General features: G+C 52.2%; 1 protein-coding gene across 20 annotated transcripts in view, besides 2 other annotated features; it reads right to left on the reverse strand.

Annotated features, from left to right (window-relative positions):
- SCARB1 (scavenger receptor class B member 1) overlaps positions 1–16218 on the reverse strand; it is an 87009-nt gene that overhangs the window by 57780 nt on the left and 13011 nt on the right. Inside the window, exon 1 of one of the 20 annotated variants that reach the window (NM_001367982.1) lies at positions 4609–5036. The exons of the other annotated variants lie outside the window; for them this stretch is intronic. Coding sequence (NP_001354911.1) covers positions 4609–4611 — 3 coding nt within the window. The 5' untranslated portion in view covers positions 4612–5036. Of the gene's footprint in view, positions 1–4608; positions 5037–16218 lie in introns of those variants that run through there. 20 annotated transcript variants of the gene reach the window in all.
- Positions 4673–5199: an enhancer, noted in NCBI's record as "H3K27ac-H3K4me1 hESC enhancer chr12:125323854-125324380 (GRCh37/hg19 assembly coordinates)". NCBI's record gives its function as "activates a minimal SCP1, AML or CMV promoter by ChIP-STARR-seq in naive H9 embryonic stem cells {active_cell/tissue: H9 hESC(naive)}" and the evidence as "EXISTENCE:reporter gene assay evidence [ECO:0000049][PMID:30033119]".
- Positions 5200–5724: an enhancer, noted in NCBI's record as "H3K27ac-H3K4me1 hESC enhancer chr12:125324381-125324905 (GRCh37/hg19 assembly coordinates)". NCBI's record gives its function as "activates a minimal SCP1, AML or CMV promoter by ChIP-STARR-seq in naive H9 embryonic stem cells {active_cell/tissue: H9 hESC(naive)}" and the evidence as "EXISTENCE:reporter gene assay evidence [ECO:0000049][PMID:30033119]".

The following is a 16218-nucleotide window of genomic DNA, read 5'->3' on the forward strand; positions in this document are numbered from 1 at the left end:
GGTGGCTCACGCCTGTAATCCCAGCACTTTGGAAGGCAAAGATAGGAGGATCACTTGAGCCCAGGAGTTCAACAGTCTGGGCAACATAGCAAGATCTCATCTCTAGAACAAAATTTTTTTACAATAGCCAGGCATGGTGGCATGTACTTGTAGTCCCAGCTACTTGGGAGGCTGAGGCAGGAGGATTGCTTGGGCCCAGAAGGTCGAGGCTGCAGTGAGCTGTGATTGCACCACTACACTCCAGGCTGCACAACAGAGCAAGACCCTGTCCACCCCCCCAAAAAAAAGGCGGTCTCCAAACCAGCAACATCAGCATCACTTGGGAACTCGATAAAAAAGCAGATTCCCAGGCTCCATGCCAGGTCTGCCGACTCAGACACTCAGGGGCTGGGGCCTGGTGATCCGTGTTTTAGTGAGCCCTCCAGCGTCCAGACTCCAATGCACCATGAAGTGCCGTGGCTATACTAGAGACACTGACGGATGAGGCAATGTCTGACATGAGCCCCAGAACAATGTGGAAAAGGGGAAAGTGTATGGAGGCACGTGCAGAAGGCAAGACTTGGTATCTCCTCAGCAAGTTACAGGGCCCGTGACCATCGCACCGGTCTATTTTTATGTATGTTTGAATTTTTTTTTTTTAAGAGACAGGGTCTTGCTCTGTCACCCTGGCTGGAGTGCACTGGTGCAGTCCGAGCTCACTGTAGCCTTGAACTCCTGGGCTCAAACCATCTTCCTGCCTCAGCCTCCTTGTAGCTGGGACCACAGCAGCTTCTGTCACCATACTCAGCTAATTTTTTCATTTTTTGTAGATTTTATTTTTTGTAGGGGTCTCGCTATGTTGCCCAGGCTGGTCTGAAACTCCTGGCCTAAACCAATTCTCCCGCTTCAACCTCCCAAAGAGCTGGATTACGAACGTGAGACACTGCACCCAGCCCTTGAAATTTTTCATAAATTTTTTTTAATTCACTCAAAATTTCTTATACACCGCATCCTCCCCGCCCCCACTAAAAAAAACACAAACTAGGTCTTGTCTCTTCCTGAAACAGATGCCACAAACTGGGCCCATGGGCCAGATTTTGCCAGTAGATGGGTTTTGAATCACATATTTCAAAATATTTGAATCTGTTGACAGTATCTTAAACCAGCAGGTAAATTCCTGCCTTCTGGCTTCTTTTGGGAACCTGGGTGATGTCCAGCTCTGGGCCTGCATGCCACGTGGCCCAGCCCGCTGGAGCAAAGCAGGAGCCGCTTCACAGTTGGGGTGTGCCCTCCAGCTTGCAACGGGCCCCACCACTCCCTATCACCTCATGCCAGGGCCCTTCCCCCATGTATGTTCCTGCACAGTTTGCAATCCCTGTCCTATAGTAACACACGATGAGAACGTGGCATTCATTCATTCATTCATTCACTCAGTCATTCATTCATTTCAACCCTGCCTGAGCATCCAAAGCGGGCGATCAGTGCTACAGGGGTAAAGTTAATCCAACAGGATTCCTGCCCTCGTGGACTGAGCAGGAAGTGGGGAAGAGGACACGCAATTCACAAGTGACTCAGGTACCCAGTAGGAAGAGCTCAGGGACATCACACGTATTCACTGGCACGCACTGGCAAGCACCAGAGGTCTCGCGCATGTGTCACTGGCCAGAATGTCCATCAGTACAGCCACCTCGGAGAGCCACTGGGCAAAATCTACTGAGGCAGAGCACGATGTTCTGAACTGCTGAACGCATCTGGAAACCACCACCTCCCATCTCTCAGGAAGCACAACAGTAAACATCTGCATTACAGAAGCCACTGGAGGCAAGTTTTATGTTGTTTCCAGCTCAAAGCATCCCATTTAAAGCAATGCTTTCATTTATTTAAACCTAACAATTAGGCTGGGTGTGGTGGCTCACACCTGTAATCCCAGCACTTTGGGAGGCTGGGGCAGGAGGATCACTGGAGCCCAGGAGTTCGAGACCAGCCTGCGCAACACAGTGAGCCCCATCTCTACAAAAAATGTTTAAAAATTTGCCAAATGTGGTAGTGTATGCCTGTAGACCCAGGTACGTGGAAGGCTGAGGCAGGAGGATCCCTTGAGCCCAGGAGATAGAGGCTGCAGTGAGCCATGATCGTGCCACTGTACTCCAGCCTGGGTGACAGAGCAAGACCCTGTCTCAAAATAAAATGAAATAAAATAAAATAGAATAAAGCTAATAATTTGTCTCCATTTTACTGATGAAGAAAGTGAAGTACAGGGAGATTAAACCACTCGCTTGCCCAAGAGCACAAACCCAATGTTGGCACAGAGTCTTGACCTTGGGTCTGACCAAAGGCTGGGCACTGCCTTGGTAAAGGCCCAGCACAGGCGTGGCAAGTAAGGAGCTCAGACCAGCGAAGAGAATGCTGGAAGGTGCATACAGTCCTGGTCCCCGGGCACAGAGATGAATCAAGCACAACCTCTCCTTCCCCGCCAAATCAGGGCCTCATCCTGCTCCCCAGTTGCACCTGCATGACGGGAACTCCAGGCAGCCCACCTCTACTTGCTTTTTTGGACAAAAACAATTTCTACCAGGGCTGATCCCAGCCCCACTGTTTCCACACAAGTCAGACAGTGAATATGCCTTCTTTCAAACACCCCAACCTCAATAAAGCTGGCTGTTTTCAAGCAAAAACATTATTCTTCTCTGTTCTTAGAAAGGTTTCAACAAGCTACAGCCTGTGGACCAAATCCAGCCTGATGCCTATTTCTACTCACCCCACAAGCTAACAATCATTTTGCATTTTCAAATGGAAAGAAGGGAAAGAGGGGAAGAAAGGGAAGAAAGAAAAGAAAGAAAGAAGGAAAGAAAGAAAGAAAGGAAGGAAGGAAGGAAGGAAGGAAGGAAGGGAGAAAAAAGAAAAGAAAGGAAAGAAAAAGAAAGAAAAGAAAAGAAAAGAAAAGAAAAGAAAAGAAAAGAAAAGAAAAGAAAAGAAAAGAAAAGTCAGCCAGCTGGGTGCAGTGCTGCACGCCTGTAATCCCAACACTTTGGGAGACCAAGGTGGGAGGGTCACTTGAGGCCAGGAGTTCAAGACGAGCCTGGGCAACATAGTGAGGACCCCCCCTACACACCCACCCACCAACCTATAAAAAAAAAAAATGAGCCAGGCGTGGTGGCACATGCCTGTTGTCCCAGCTACTCAGGAGAGTAAGGTGGGAGGATAACGAGCCCAGGAGGTCTAGGCTGCAGTGAGCCATGATGGTGCCCCTGCCCCCCAGCCTGGGTGACACAGTGAGACCCTGTCTCCAAAAAATATGTTAAAAATAAATAAACAAACAATTGAAAGAAAAATGCCATTTCATGACATGTGAAAGTTATATGAAATTCACATTTTGGTGTTCATAAATGCAGTGGCACTGGCCCACAGCGGCCACCTCGACTTATTTCTGTGTCGTCAATGGCAGCCTCAGCATCACAGCAGCAGGGCTGAGTAGCTGAGACACAACCCGTGCAGCCTGCAGAGCTGAGCATATTGACTATCTGTCTCTGTACAGAAAAGCATGCCAACCCCAGCCTAGACCACACAGAAATTCAGGAAGGGCCATCCCCTGCCAGGCCAGCTTCACGGGTGAGGCCGGATCTGGCCATTAGGGAGAGGGCCAGGGCGCAGACCTAGTTCTGGCCTCGGCTCAGTCAGCCCCTCCCACCCCGGTCCCCTGATATGCCACATGGAGACGTGACTGCCTCCCCATCCTCCCCGTGGCAGTGCAGAGAGAATGAGATGACCCAGGACATGTGTCTGTTGTGAAGAGGGCACCCGGCTATAAACATGCCTCAGGGAACTATTGTTACAGGAGCCTCCCTGAGCTCACCACTGGCTCCAGTTCAAGAACACGTCATGAAGCCAGCCAAGGTCTTGTAAAATAGGGCAACGGTGGTTTGGGCCTGGAGGAATCAGAAGCTCAGGGCTGCCTGCTTCAAAGGCTAAGTCTTCTGCAACAGGCTCAGCATGTTGGAATTTGACCCTGGCCAACAGGCTGGGCCGTCTGGTCTACCATCTACAAACCAACAGCCCAACCCATTCAAGCAGGAGGGGCCGGTACCATTTCTCCCTTCAGGTTAAACCCTGCCACAGTTTTTAATTTTAATTGGGGTAAACATAAAATTTACCAACTTAGCCTTTTTTTTTTTTTTTTTTGAGATGGAGTCTCGGTCTGTCACCCAGGCTGGAGTGCAGTGGTGTGATCTCAGCTCACTGCAACCTCTGCCTCCCAGGTTCAAGAAATTCTCTGCCTCAGCCTCCTAAGTAGCTGGGATTACAGGCGCCTGCCACCATGCCAGGCTAATTTTTGTATTTTTAGTAGAGACGGGGTTTCACCATCTTGGCCAGGCTGGTCTTGAACTCCTGACCTCGTGATCCACCCACCTTGGGCTCCAAAAGTACTGGGATTACAGGCATGAGCCACTACACGCCCAGCCCAACTTAGCCATTTTTAAGTGTACAGTTCAGTGGCATTAAGGACATTTGCAATGTTGTGCAATTATCAGCAACATCCATCTAAAGAACTCTTTCATCTTGCAAAAGTGAAACCCTGTACCCACTGAAAAAGAGCTCTGCACCCCCTCTCCCCCAGCCCCTGGCACCCACCATTCTCTTTTCTGTCTCTGTGGATCTGGCTACTCTAGGGAGCTCATGCAAATGGAATCGTACGGTATTTGTCCTGTTGTGGCTTATTTCACTCGCATAACTTCCTCAAGGCCCGTGCATGTCGCAGCGTGCGTCCAAACGTCCTTCCTTTTCCAGGCTGAATCCTATTCCAACGTGTGGATGGGCCCCAGCTTCTTACCCACCACCCATCAGCGGACACTCGGGTTGCTCCCACCGTTGGGCCATCGTGAACAGCGCTGCAATGAACGCGGTGGCCAGATTCCTCTTCAAGTTCCCACTTCCATTTCTTTGATACCCAGAAGTGGGGTTGCCCCACCATATGGTAATTCTATGTTAAATTTTGGGGGGGCCTCCACACAGCAGCTGCACCATCCTACATTCCCAACGGCACACATGGGCCCCGATTTCTCCGCACCCTCACCCCAACGGCACACATGGGCCCCGATTTCTCCGCACCCTCACCCCAACGGCACACATGGGCCCCGATTTCTCCGCACCCTCACCCCAACGGCACACATGGGCCCCGATTTCTCCGCACCCTCACCCCAACGGCACACATGGGCCCCGATTTCTCCGCACCCTCACCCCAACGGCACACATGGGCCCCGATTTCTCCGCACCCTCACCCCAACGGCACACATGGGCCCCGATTTCTCCGCACCCTCACCCCAACGGCACACATGGGCCCCGATTTCTCCGCACCCTCACCCCAACGGCACACATGGGCCCCGATTTCTCCGCACCCTCACCCCAACGGCACACATGGGCCCCGATTTCTCCGCATCCTCACCAATATTTGAGATTTTCTGTTTTCTCAAGTGACCATCCTAATGGGTATGAGTGTGTCTCACTGATTCTCATTTCCCTAACGATGAGCGAGTGTCGCTGAGCACACTTCCATGTCCCCGTTGGCTATCTGCATTTTTTTTTTTTTTAAGACAGAGTCTTGCTCTGTTGCCCAGGCTGGAGTACAGTCTTGGCTCACTGCAACCTCTACCTCCCAGGTTCAAACGATTCTCCTGCCTCAGCCTCCTGAGTAGCTGGGATTACATACAGGCGCCTGCCACCACACCCGGCTAATTTTTGTATTTTTAGTAGAGACGGGGTTTCGCCATCTTGGCCAGGCTGGCCTCGAACTCCTGACCTTGTGATCCGCCCACCTTGGCCTCCCAAAGTGCTGGGATTACAGGCGTGAGCCACCGCGCCTGGCTGCCTGCATGTCTTCTTTGCAGGTGCTTGGTCCGTGTTTTAATGGGGTTGTCTGACTCTTGTTGTTGAGTTGTCCTCGCTTGATTTTAGGACCAGAGTTAAGGCCCACACTCCATCTGCTCTCAACCTCCCTCCCCCGATCTTCTCGTCTCGGAAAATGGCTCCACCATCTACCAAACTCCTCAAACCTTGAGGAACCACCCTTGATTCCTCTCCTTCCCTCGCACCCCAGTCCACTGACCTATCTTGTTGACTCTCCCTGAAAAAAAACTCGAATATGTTCCCTTCTTTCCATTTAGAAAACTACCCCCACCTGGCTCAAATCACCATCTTCTCTGCCTCCCCGCTTCCAGCCTGGCCCCCGACACTCCCTTCTCCAGACAGCAGCCAGAGAGCTCTTCAAGACTGAGTCAGGCTGGGCGTGGTGGCTCACACCTGTAATCCCAGCCCTTTGGGAGGCCAAGGCAGGTGGATCACCTGAGGTCAGGGGTTCAAGACCAGCCTGCCCAACATGGTGAAACACCATCTTTACGAAAAATACAAAAATTAGCCGAGTGTAGTGGCACGCACGTGTAATCCCAGCTACTCAGAAGGCTGAGGCAAGAAAATTGCTTGAGGCTGGGCGCGGTGGCTCACGCCTGTAATCCCAGCACTTTGGGAGGCCGAGGTGGGCGGATCACGAGGTCAGGAGATTGAGACCATGCTGGCTAACACGGTGAAACCCCGTATCTACTAAAAATACAAAAAAATTAGCCGGGCGTGGTGGCGGGCGCCTGTAGTCCCAGCTACGCGGGAGGCTGAGGCAGGAGAATGGCATGAACCAGGGAGGCGGAGCTTGCAGTGAGCGGAGATTGCGCCACTGCACTCCCCCGCCTGGGCAACAGAGCAAGACTCCGTCTCAAAAAAAAAAAAAAAAGAGAATTGCTTGAACTCGGGAGGCGGAGGTTGCAGTGAGCTGATACCATGCCACTGCACTCCAGCCTGGGCGACAGAGAAAGACTCTGTCTCAAAAAAAAAAAAAAAAAATACTGAGTCAGATCATGGCTCTTCCCTGCTCAGAACCCTCCATGGAATTGAAAACCAAATCTGAACTCCTCCAGGTGTCCTGCAAGGCCCCCACATGCCTGTCCCCTTTCACCCCCTCCAGTCACTTCTCCCAACCCCACTGGCCTGCTCCCTCTTCCTCCAACACAGCAGGCTCCTTCGCACCTCCGGCCTTTGAACCTGCTGTGCTCTTTGCCAGCTGCTCCCCAGCTCATAGAGCCCCTCCTCTGAGAGGCCCTCCTGACTCCCACATCAGAAGGAGTCCCCTTCCCAGCAGTGGCTCCATGTCAGCTCACCTGCCTCGTCCCCTTCCTAGCTCTTCTCGCCACCCCACCTCTTCCATGTGCTTCTCCATGGCCCATCCCTCCTGCTAAAGCGTAGCTGCCGTGAGCAGGACCAGGTCTCTTTTGTCCACGGCTGTAGCTCCAACACTTGGCACGAGACCTGGCCCACAATTTGTGAGCAGTAAACATGGGCCGAAAGGATGAGTAGCTTTCCCTGCCACTTCAGCCCTGGGGGTCCCTCCTCCTCCTCCCACAGTCCTGTGTGCCCCATTCAGGTGGTTCATAAACAGCTGCCCGGAGCAGATTCTCCACTGGGGTTTGTCCCATCTGTAAAATGAGGGTTGTAAATGTGCCCAAACAGCTGGGGATGAATGCAAAGCGCCCCACGCCCCGTGTCACTCCCAGCCAGGAGCAAGAGGGCACCATGCCAGTGCTGCCTCTGGCCCAGGCAGTCACCTGTCCAGGGGAAACAGGCCTCTAAGGCTCCAATGGCCTCACGCACTGGAGTTCATCAATAACACAAGCCGAGAAAGCCCCAGGAAAGCTGGAGACGCTGCCGGAAATGCAAAGCTGCTCATTCTTCCATCCGTCCCAGCTAAAGGGGTTCGAGGAAGCTCCTCCCCACACACCTCCCAGGGTGGAAGGGGACCTCATATCTCAGCGGGGCTCTGGCCCTGGCCCCAGCATCCCAGTCCCTGTCTCTTCTCCCTGCCCCCACCAAGGACACAGATGCCCAGGCCTGCTGGCAGCTTCATCACACTTATCTGCACTCCCAAGCCACAGATTACAGCTGTCAGGCCCAGAGGAAACGTGGCGGTCACATCAACCCTGACTCTGAAAACAGCCCTGAAAGACACAGGGGTGTTTCCAGCACAGCAAGGTCTTACTGGAAAGGACCCCTGGACCCCAATGTCCTAGAGGTGTGCCCCACGACCCCACATGCCCCTCTTCACTGCTCTGGCCTTTGGGAAACACAGCCCTGTCCTTTACAAGGTCCTATTTGCAAAGCCTGCTGGGAGACAGAGGCCCAGGGCTCGGATGAGGATGGGTTCTGTGCGGGAACAAGAGATGCCAAGATCCACCTAGGTGCCCCAGCCAAGAGGCAGAAAAGCATGGGAACCGTGTGCCCTTGTGGGACGTGTGCCACGGACGGGAAGGATACGGGTGTGGGTCCCCCTCTGTGGACGCAAACATGTTTATTGCAGGAAGGAAAAACAAGGAACTATTAACCCAAGTCACCTCTGGAGCAAAGACCAGCTGGGGCCAGGGGAGCAGTGTCGTGCTGTGATCTTTCCAGAAGGCTGACTCTTTTTCCGTACACTTTTAATTTGTTTGATCATATCCCTATTTTACCTTCCTTATTTTTAATGCCAGCCAGGGCTTTCTGGGTAAGAGCTGGGCACACCCAGGGAGAGGCACGTGACCATCCGCAGCTGCTCTCCTTGGCCTCCAGTTTGTTTTGTTTTTGTTTCTTACTTTCTGTGGAGATGGGGGGGGGGGTCTTACTATGTTACCCAGGCTGGTCTTGAACTCCTGGCCTCAGGCGATCCTCCCACCTCTGCCTCGCTAAGTGCTGGGATTACAGGCATGAGCCACTGCGCCTGGCCTTGACTTCTGGTTTGTGAGATGGAAGAACATTGGCCCCATGTGCAGAGGTGGAAATCGGCTTTTAGGAAAAAAGTGAGTTTCCACAGGACCCAAGTAATGGGACCTGGATTTGAACCCAGAGCTCTGCAGATCTGAGGATTGGGCACCTGCACACATAGTGCTGGTCTGAAGCATGTCCCCTGCCAAATTCATGCCCACCTAGAACCTCAGAATGTGGCCTTATTTAAAAATAGGGTCTCTACAGATGTTACCAAGTTAAGGATCCCAAGATGAGATCATCCTGGATTTATGAAGGGCCCTACATCCAAGCTGGAGGCCCTCCAAGCCCAAGCTGGTGGGGTCTAGCCCCAGTTTGCTCTGTGACCCTCCAACATGGCCCTCAAAATCTCTGAGCCTCAGACCCCCACCTGAGGACTTATGAAAGGAAGAAGACTCAAATTCACACCTCAGAAAAGCACATGAGAACAATGCTGCACCACGTACCCTCACTGAGACCCCAGACATTCTCGAAGACTAAATCGTCTCAGGTGCTGGAGAGGATGTGAGAGCTGGGAGGGTGAACAGCAGTGGCCCTTCTGGAAGGCATGTTGGGTGAAAATGGCTCCCCCTCTGCCCTACAGCAATTCCACTCCTGCGCATCCCCAGGAAATTGTGGAGAAGTACAAGGCAGCAGGGTCCAGCATATTTGCTGTTTGTGGAGGCAGGAGTCAGACATAACCAAGGTACCCCCGTCGCTAAGGGAATAAATACAACAGGATGAACATGAATTAGGGGGTCCAGGCAGCAGAAGGAAGCAATAAGCCTGATACACACATAGGAACACGGATAGATTTTAAACAGGGCAGCACGAGGAATGTTGACACGAGTTACCGTGCATGGCATGGAAAAGCCGCCCTCTCCTCAGACGTGACAGGCCACATGAAGGGGGCCTCCCTGTGCCACCCCCAGCTCAAAGCACTTCCACCTCTAGCTCCCTCGGTCCTCACTGAATCCTATAGGAAGGCATGGTTTTAGCCCATTTTATAGGCACCCTACTATTATGAGCTGAACAGTGTCCCCCCAAAATTCCCATGTTGCAGCCCTAACCCTCGGTGCATCAGAATGTGACTGTATTGGCGCGGGGGGCAGGGCCTTTAAATCGGTGATTACGTTTAAATGAGGTCAGTGGGGTGAGCCCTAATCCAATCTGACTGACGCCCTTAAAAGAGGAGATTAGGACCCGCAGAGAGTCACCGGGGATGTGCGCACACAGGGAGAAGGTGGCGTCTATGAGGCCGGGAGAGGGGTCTCCGGAGAAGCCAGCCCTGCCAACATCCTGATCTCAGACTTCCGGCCTCCAGAACTGTACGGGAATACATGGTCTTTGGCCCATGCACCTGTTATGGACATTTTTTTCTTTCTTTCTTTCTTTTTTTTTTTTTTTTGAGACAGAGTCCTGCTCTGTTGCCCAGACTGGAGTGCAGTGGCACGATCTCGGCTCACTGCAACCTCTGCCTCCCATGCAGACTCAGACACCCACCAGAGACCAGAGACTCGAAGAGCCTGTCCATGGTCACACAGCAGCAGGAGGCAGGGCCGGGATCTGGACCCACACCTGCAGGCTCCGGAATCTAGGACTGCACAAGGTCCAAGGACACACTCAGGTTTACAGACGCAGCCACACAGAGGATGGGCGCAGGGGCAGGGCGGGCTGAAGAGCGAGAGGGGTGAGGGGAAGGAGGGCATAAAAGGAGACCACTGAAAGCAGAAGCCAAGCGAGTTCCCGAACATGCGCGCTCCCAGCAGCACCGCTCCCGGCAGCCACCAGCCCAGACGCCCATCCACAGAGGCGCGGAAAAACAGCATGCAGTGCACCCGCACCGTGGAGGCCTGCTCAGCTACAAAAAGGAAAGCAGCACTCCACATGCCACACCACGGATGAACCCCAAAACATGACGCTAAGCGGAAGCAGCCAGGCACTTAAGGCCACACATTGCATGATTTCATTTATAAGAAATGTGCAGGGCCGGGCACGGTGGCTCAGGCCTGTAATCCCAACACTTTGGGACCGAGGCAGGTGTTTGACCTGAGGTCAGGAGTTTGAGACCAGCCTGGCCAACATGTGAAACCCCGTCTATATTAAAAATACAAAAAAAAAAAAAAAAAATTAGCCGGGCGTGGTGGCGGGCGCCTGTAGTCCCAGCTACTGGGGAGGCTGAGGCAGGAGAATCGCTTGAACCCAGGAGGCGGAGGTTGCAGTGAGCCGAGATCACGCCACTGCATTCCAGCCTGGGTGACACAGCAAGACTCTGCCTCAAAAAAAAAAGAAATGTCCAGGGCCGGGCACGGTGGCTCAGGCCTGTAATCCCAACACTTTGGGACCAAGGCAGGTGGATGACCTGAGGTCAGGAGTTTGAGACTAGCCTGGCCAACATGGTGAAACCCGTCTCTACTAAAAATACAAAAAAAAAAAATTAGCCGGGTGTGGTGACAGGCGCCTGTAGTCCCAGCTACTCGGGAGGCTGAGGCAGAAGAATCGCTTGAACCCGGGAGGCGGAGGTTGCAGTGAGCCAAGATTGCACCACTGCACTCCAGCCTGGGCGACAGAGCAAGACTCTGTCTCAAAAAAAAAGAAAGAAAGAAAGAAAGAAATGTCCGTAACAGGTGCATCTGTAGAGACAGAAAGAAAATGAGTGATTGCCAGGGGCTGGGGAGCTGCAAAGAGTGGAGAATGGGCAATTCTACTTGGGAGGGATGGAAATGTTTTGAAACTAGGTAGAAGTGGTGGTATCACTGAATTATTCGATTTACAAGGATTAATTATATGTTATGTGAATTTGAACTCAATAAATTATTAAATGAAAAACAAATGATAGGATTGGAAACGCTGCAACCACTTTGGACAAGAGCTTGGCCCTTCTCCATGCAGGTGAAGACACGCACGCCATGACCAGACCCCCTACTCTGACTGTCGGGCCCTAGAGGGATTCAGGCACATGTCCCTTGCAGGCAGGGACACGAGTGTGTCATAACCCAGAAGTGAACACAGTCACCGGCATCAGGGTTAAAACAGATGAACTGGCCGGGCGTGGTGGCTCACGCCTGTAATCTCAGCACTTTGGGAGGCCGAGGCAGGCGGATCATGAGGTCAAGAGGTCGAGACCATCCTGGCCAACATAGTGAAACCCCATCTCTACTAAAAATACAAAAATTAGCTGGGCATGGTGGTGCACTTGGGAGGCTGAGGCAGGAGAATTGCTTGAACCCGGGGGGCAGAAGTTGCAGTGAGCTGAGATCGCGCCACTGCACTCTAGCCTGGCCACACAGCAAGACTCCATCTCAAAAAAAAAAAAAAAAAAAAAAAAAAAAAGACAGATGAACTGTGATACTCAGCTTCTTCCGATTAGCATCATGAACTGTGATATGACATGGCCATGAAAATAGAGTGCAGCTTATCGCAGCAATGTGGGTGGATCCCACAAATACCATATGAAGTAACACCAGCAAGACCAAACCAAACAAAAATACTGAGAGTATGCCTGCATCCAAGTTAAGTCCAAAACCGGACCAAACTAATCCCGGTGTTTAGGGATGGCTATGAGGGAGTGATACTATAAAAAGCAAAGCAAGCTGGGACCAAACACAGTGTCTTCTGCAGGGGCTTCGGGGCAGATGAGCTTTCCCTCTTCTTCACGTGGGGTGATTGCATGCATGTTCATCTTAGTTACATATTTGATTGCATATGTCTTACACTTTCCTCAAAGTGAGCAAATTTCACAAAAAACAGAAATCCAAGACTCTGGGTGGAAAGTGCAAAGCGAGGGGTTGCAGCAGGTGGAGTCCAGGAGCCTGGGAACAGACAGTGGAAGGAAATCCCAAGGACAGGGGAGACTTGGCTGTTCCCAGAGCTGCCAAGGGATCCTGGCTGCAATGGGCTCTCGGCCAAGTAAGGCCAGTTTGACCTCCACCTGCCTGCCAGGAGGCCAGACAGGGCCAAGATGATCTGGCACAAGAATTTCCACAAGGCTCTGAGGCCTGGGCATCTGGGCTAGTGGCTGCCGGGAGGCCCAGTTAGGGAGAGGCAAAACAGGAAAAGCCCCCACCTGCCACTCCATCCAGCCTCCCGTTTCCACCCGACCAGCCCTGAGACCCCAGGGTTTCCACAATCTTCCTGGCCCAGGGGATGAGTCAGGGATCAGATCCGCCATCTCTTCCCATGTGATGGCACTGGGGTGGGCAGAGGCTGGCCGAGGGCCGCTGAAGGATGGACACATCACCGCTCAAAGGCAAGGAATGAGAGCCAGAAATTTTAGAAAGCAGGTGGAGGAAGGGACCAGGAGGAATTGCAGGCTTCTTCAACCCAAGAGGTTCAGACTTGCACTGTGACTGCCAGGCTGGGAGCTGGGGGAGGATCCAGGCACCCAACCCCGGCTCATCAGAAACACTCTGCTCCAATCTGATTCACACAATGAGGCTTTTGTGTGGGAGTCTGTGGGAAGACCACGTGCACTCCTGAGAAAGCAATCAGACAAATCCAAATCAAGGGCCATCCTGCCAAAAGCACCCGCCTGGCCCCTTTACAGATGCCAGTGTCCTGAAAGACCCAGCAAAGAGAAAAGGGCTGGAGAACAGGTCTGGATTAAAGAGGAAAAACACATGAGGCAACCAGACACAGCATGCAACCTTGGATTCAAAAAAAAATTTTCTTTTTCTGAGACGGAGACTCACTCTGTCGCCCAGGCTGGAGTGCAGTGGCACGATCTCGGCTCACTGCAACCTCCGCCTCCTGGGTTCAAGCGATTCTCCTGCCTCAGCCTCCCGAGTAGCTGGGACTACAGGTGTGCGCCACCATGCCTGGCTAATTTTTTTACTTTTAGTAGAGACAGGGTTTCACCATGCTGCCCAGGATGGTCTCAATCTCTTGACCTTGTGATCCACCCGCCTCGGCCTCCCACAGTGCTGGGATTACAAGCGTGAGCCACCACGCCCGGCCAATTCAAAATTTTTTAATGAACAACTATGACAAAAAGTGTTATTGGGGCCGTAAGGGAATCTGAACACAGACTGTCAGATTAAAGGTGTGGATCCTCGTGGCCTTCTTGAGTGGGGCCGTGGTCCACGGCCATGGAGAAGGACGTCCTTGTCCTTAGGATGCACCCAAAAGGCTCAGCAACGAGAGAGAGAGGATGCACATGCAGCAACTTGTACTTTTCTTCCCGTTTTTACAAAATAAAATCTTTGAAAATAGAACCTTGGGTGATGTGGTGGTGGAAGAACACACTGGGCTGCTTTATTTTACAAGCTGGATGCCTCCCTCGTGAGAACGGCAGAACGAGCCGTGGTACATCCGCACCGTGGAGCGTTTCCAGGCATCTAGAGAATCAGAGCGTGATCATCACCAGAAAATCCCAGCTGACTGAGGACGACATGGACAAGCGATGACAGCGTGAGAAACCCACGGTGCAGCAAAGCGTGCATAGTATGGTCCCATTTCAGCAAACTGCTGACAGATGGATCCCTCTCTATGTCTGTGTCTATCCGGTTAAGATGTTGGAAACAGCCAGCCCTTACTTGACACTTGCCGAGCTGCTATTTGAAGTGTGACATGTGCCAATTCTGCCACCTTAAAAGCCCTATGTAGGAGACACTTTTATTAACTTCATTTTACAGAAAAGTAAAAAAGGCACAGAGAGGGTAAGTCACTTGCCTGAAGGCACCCAACTGGGAAGTGGCCAAGCCAGGATTTGAACCTGGGCTGCCTGCCTTCAAAGTCCATATGCTGGGGTCCACCTGAGCTGCTGGAAGCTAAAGCCCTGCCAAAGGCTGGAGAGAAGCCTGGGATGCTGCTGGGACACACTGCAGGGTAAACCCAGTGGCTAGGATTCCAGATCAACTCCTCCACGGGTGCATCTGGGCAGCTCATCCCTCCCACCCCTACCTCATCCCCTCTCTGCCCACGGCACACCCCTGCAGCCTCTCACCTTGGGTGGACAAAGCCTGAACTTTGGCACACCAGCCCTGATATCTCCCCAACTTTTTAAAAAATGCCTCATCCCAGTCCTGCCGCCAGGATGTGAACAGGCAGGGGTATCAATGGGACCCTGGGAACTTTCTGCCTGAAGAACATTCGTTAGTGACTTCCTCCGGCACCCACCCAGGCCCCTTCCACCCTTGCTGCCCGGGCCCTCCTGGCCTCCATCCAGCTAGCCTGGGACAGTCGGCCCCACCCAGCACTGGCTGCTAACTATCTCCGTGGCCTTGAGTAAACCTCTGCTACCTACAGAATTTGGTTTCCAAAGGAAAAATAAAAGATAGAACTGAGCTTCGGAACCCAAGTCAGTCCAGATCTAACAATCTGACAGCTGATGAAACTTTCCCCGTTAGAGCAATTAGGCCAGGTACAGTGATTCATGAATGTAATCCCAGCACTTTGGAAGACCAAGGTGGGAGGATTGCTTGAGGCCAGGAGTTCAAGACCAGCCTGGGCAACATAGCAAGACCCCTGTCTCTACAAAAAATCTAAAAATTAGCTGGGCATGGTGGTGCACACCTGTAGTCCCAGTTATTCAGGAGGCCAAGGTAGGAGGATCGATTGAGCCTGAGTGGTTGAAGCTGCAGTGAGCCGTAATCATGCCACTGCACTCCAGCTTGGGTGACAGAGTGAGACCCTGTCTCAAAAAATCTAAATAAATAAATAATAAAGGGTGGGCACTGTGGCATATGCTTATAATCCCAGCACTTTGGGAGGCCAAGGTGGGTGGATCATTTGAGGTCAGGAGTTCCAGACCAGCCTGGCCAACCTGGTGAAACCTCGCCTCTACTAAAAATACAAAAATTAGCCGGGTGTAGTGGTGGGCACCTGTAATCCCAACTACTCAGGAGGCTGAGGCAGGAGAATCACTTGAACCCGGGAGGCGGAGGTTGCAGTGAGCCAAGATCATGCCACTGCACTCCAGCCCGGGCGACAGACTGAGACCATGTCTCAAAAAAATAAATAAATAGGCCGGGCTTCGTGGCTCACACCTGTAATCCCAGCACTTTGGGAGGTCGAGGTGGGCGGATCACCTGAGGTCAGGAGTTCGAGACCAGCCTGGCCAACATGGAGAAACCCTGTCTCTACTAAAAATACAAAATTAGCTGGGCACAGTGGCGCAGCCTGTAATCCCAGCTACTTGGGAGGCTGAGGTGAGAGAATCGCTTGAACCTGGGAGGCAAAGGTTGCGGTGAGCCGAGATCACACCATTGCACTCCAGCCTGGGCAACAAGAGAGAAACTCCGTCTCAAAATAAATAGGTAAGTAAATATAAGTAAATACATACATAATAAACAGCTGGTAAGCTACTACCTCCTCAAGAGGCCTTGGTAAACAGAATAGTCAGCCAAACAAAATAATCTCTAATACTGTAACAGCCAGAGACAGTGAAAGGCAATGTGGGGATGAAGTGGGAAGCTACCTGGGGGCAAA

Source organism: Homo sapiens, chromosome 12 (assembly GCF_000001405.40).
Source record: "Homo sapiens chromosome 12, GRCh38.p14 Primary Assembly".
Taxonomy (NCBI): Eukaryota; Metazoa; Chordata; class Mammalia; order Primates; family Hominidae; genus Homo; species Homo sapiens.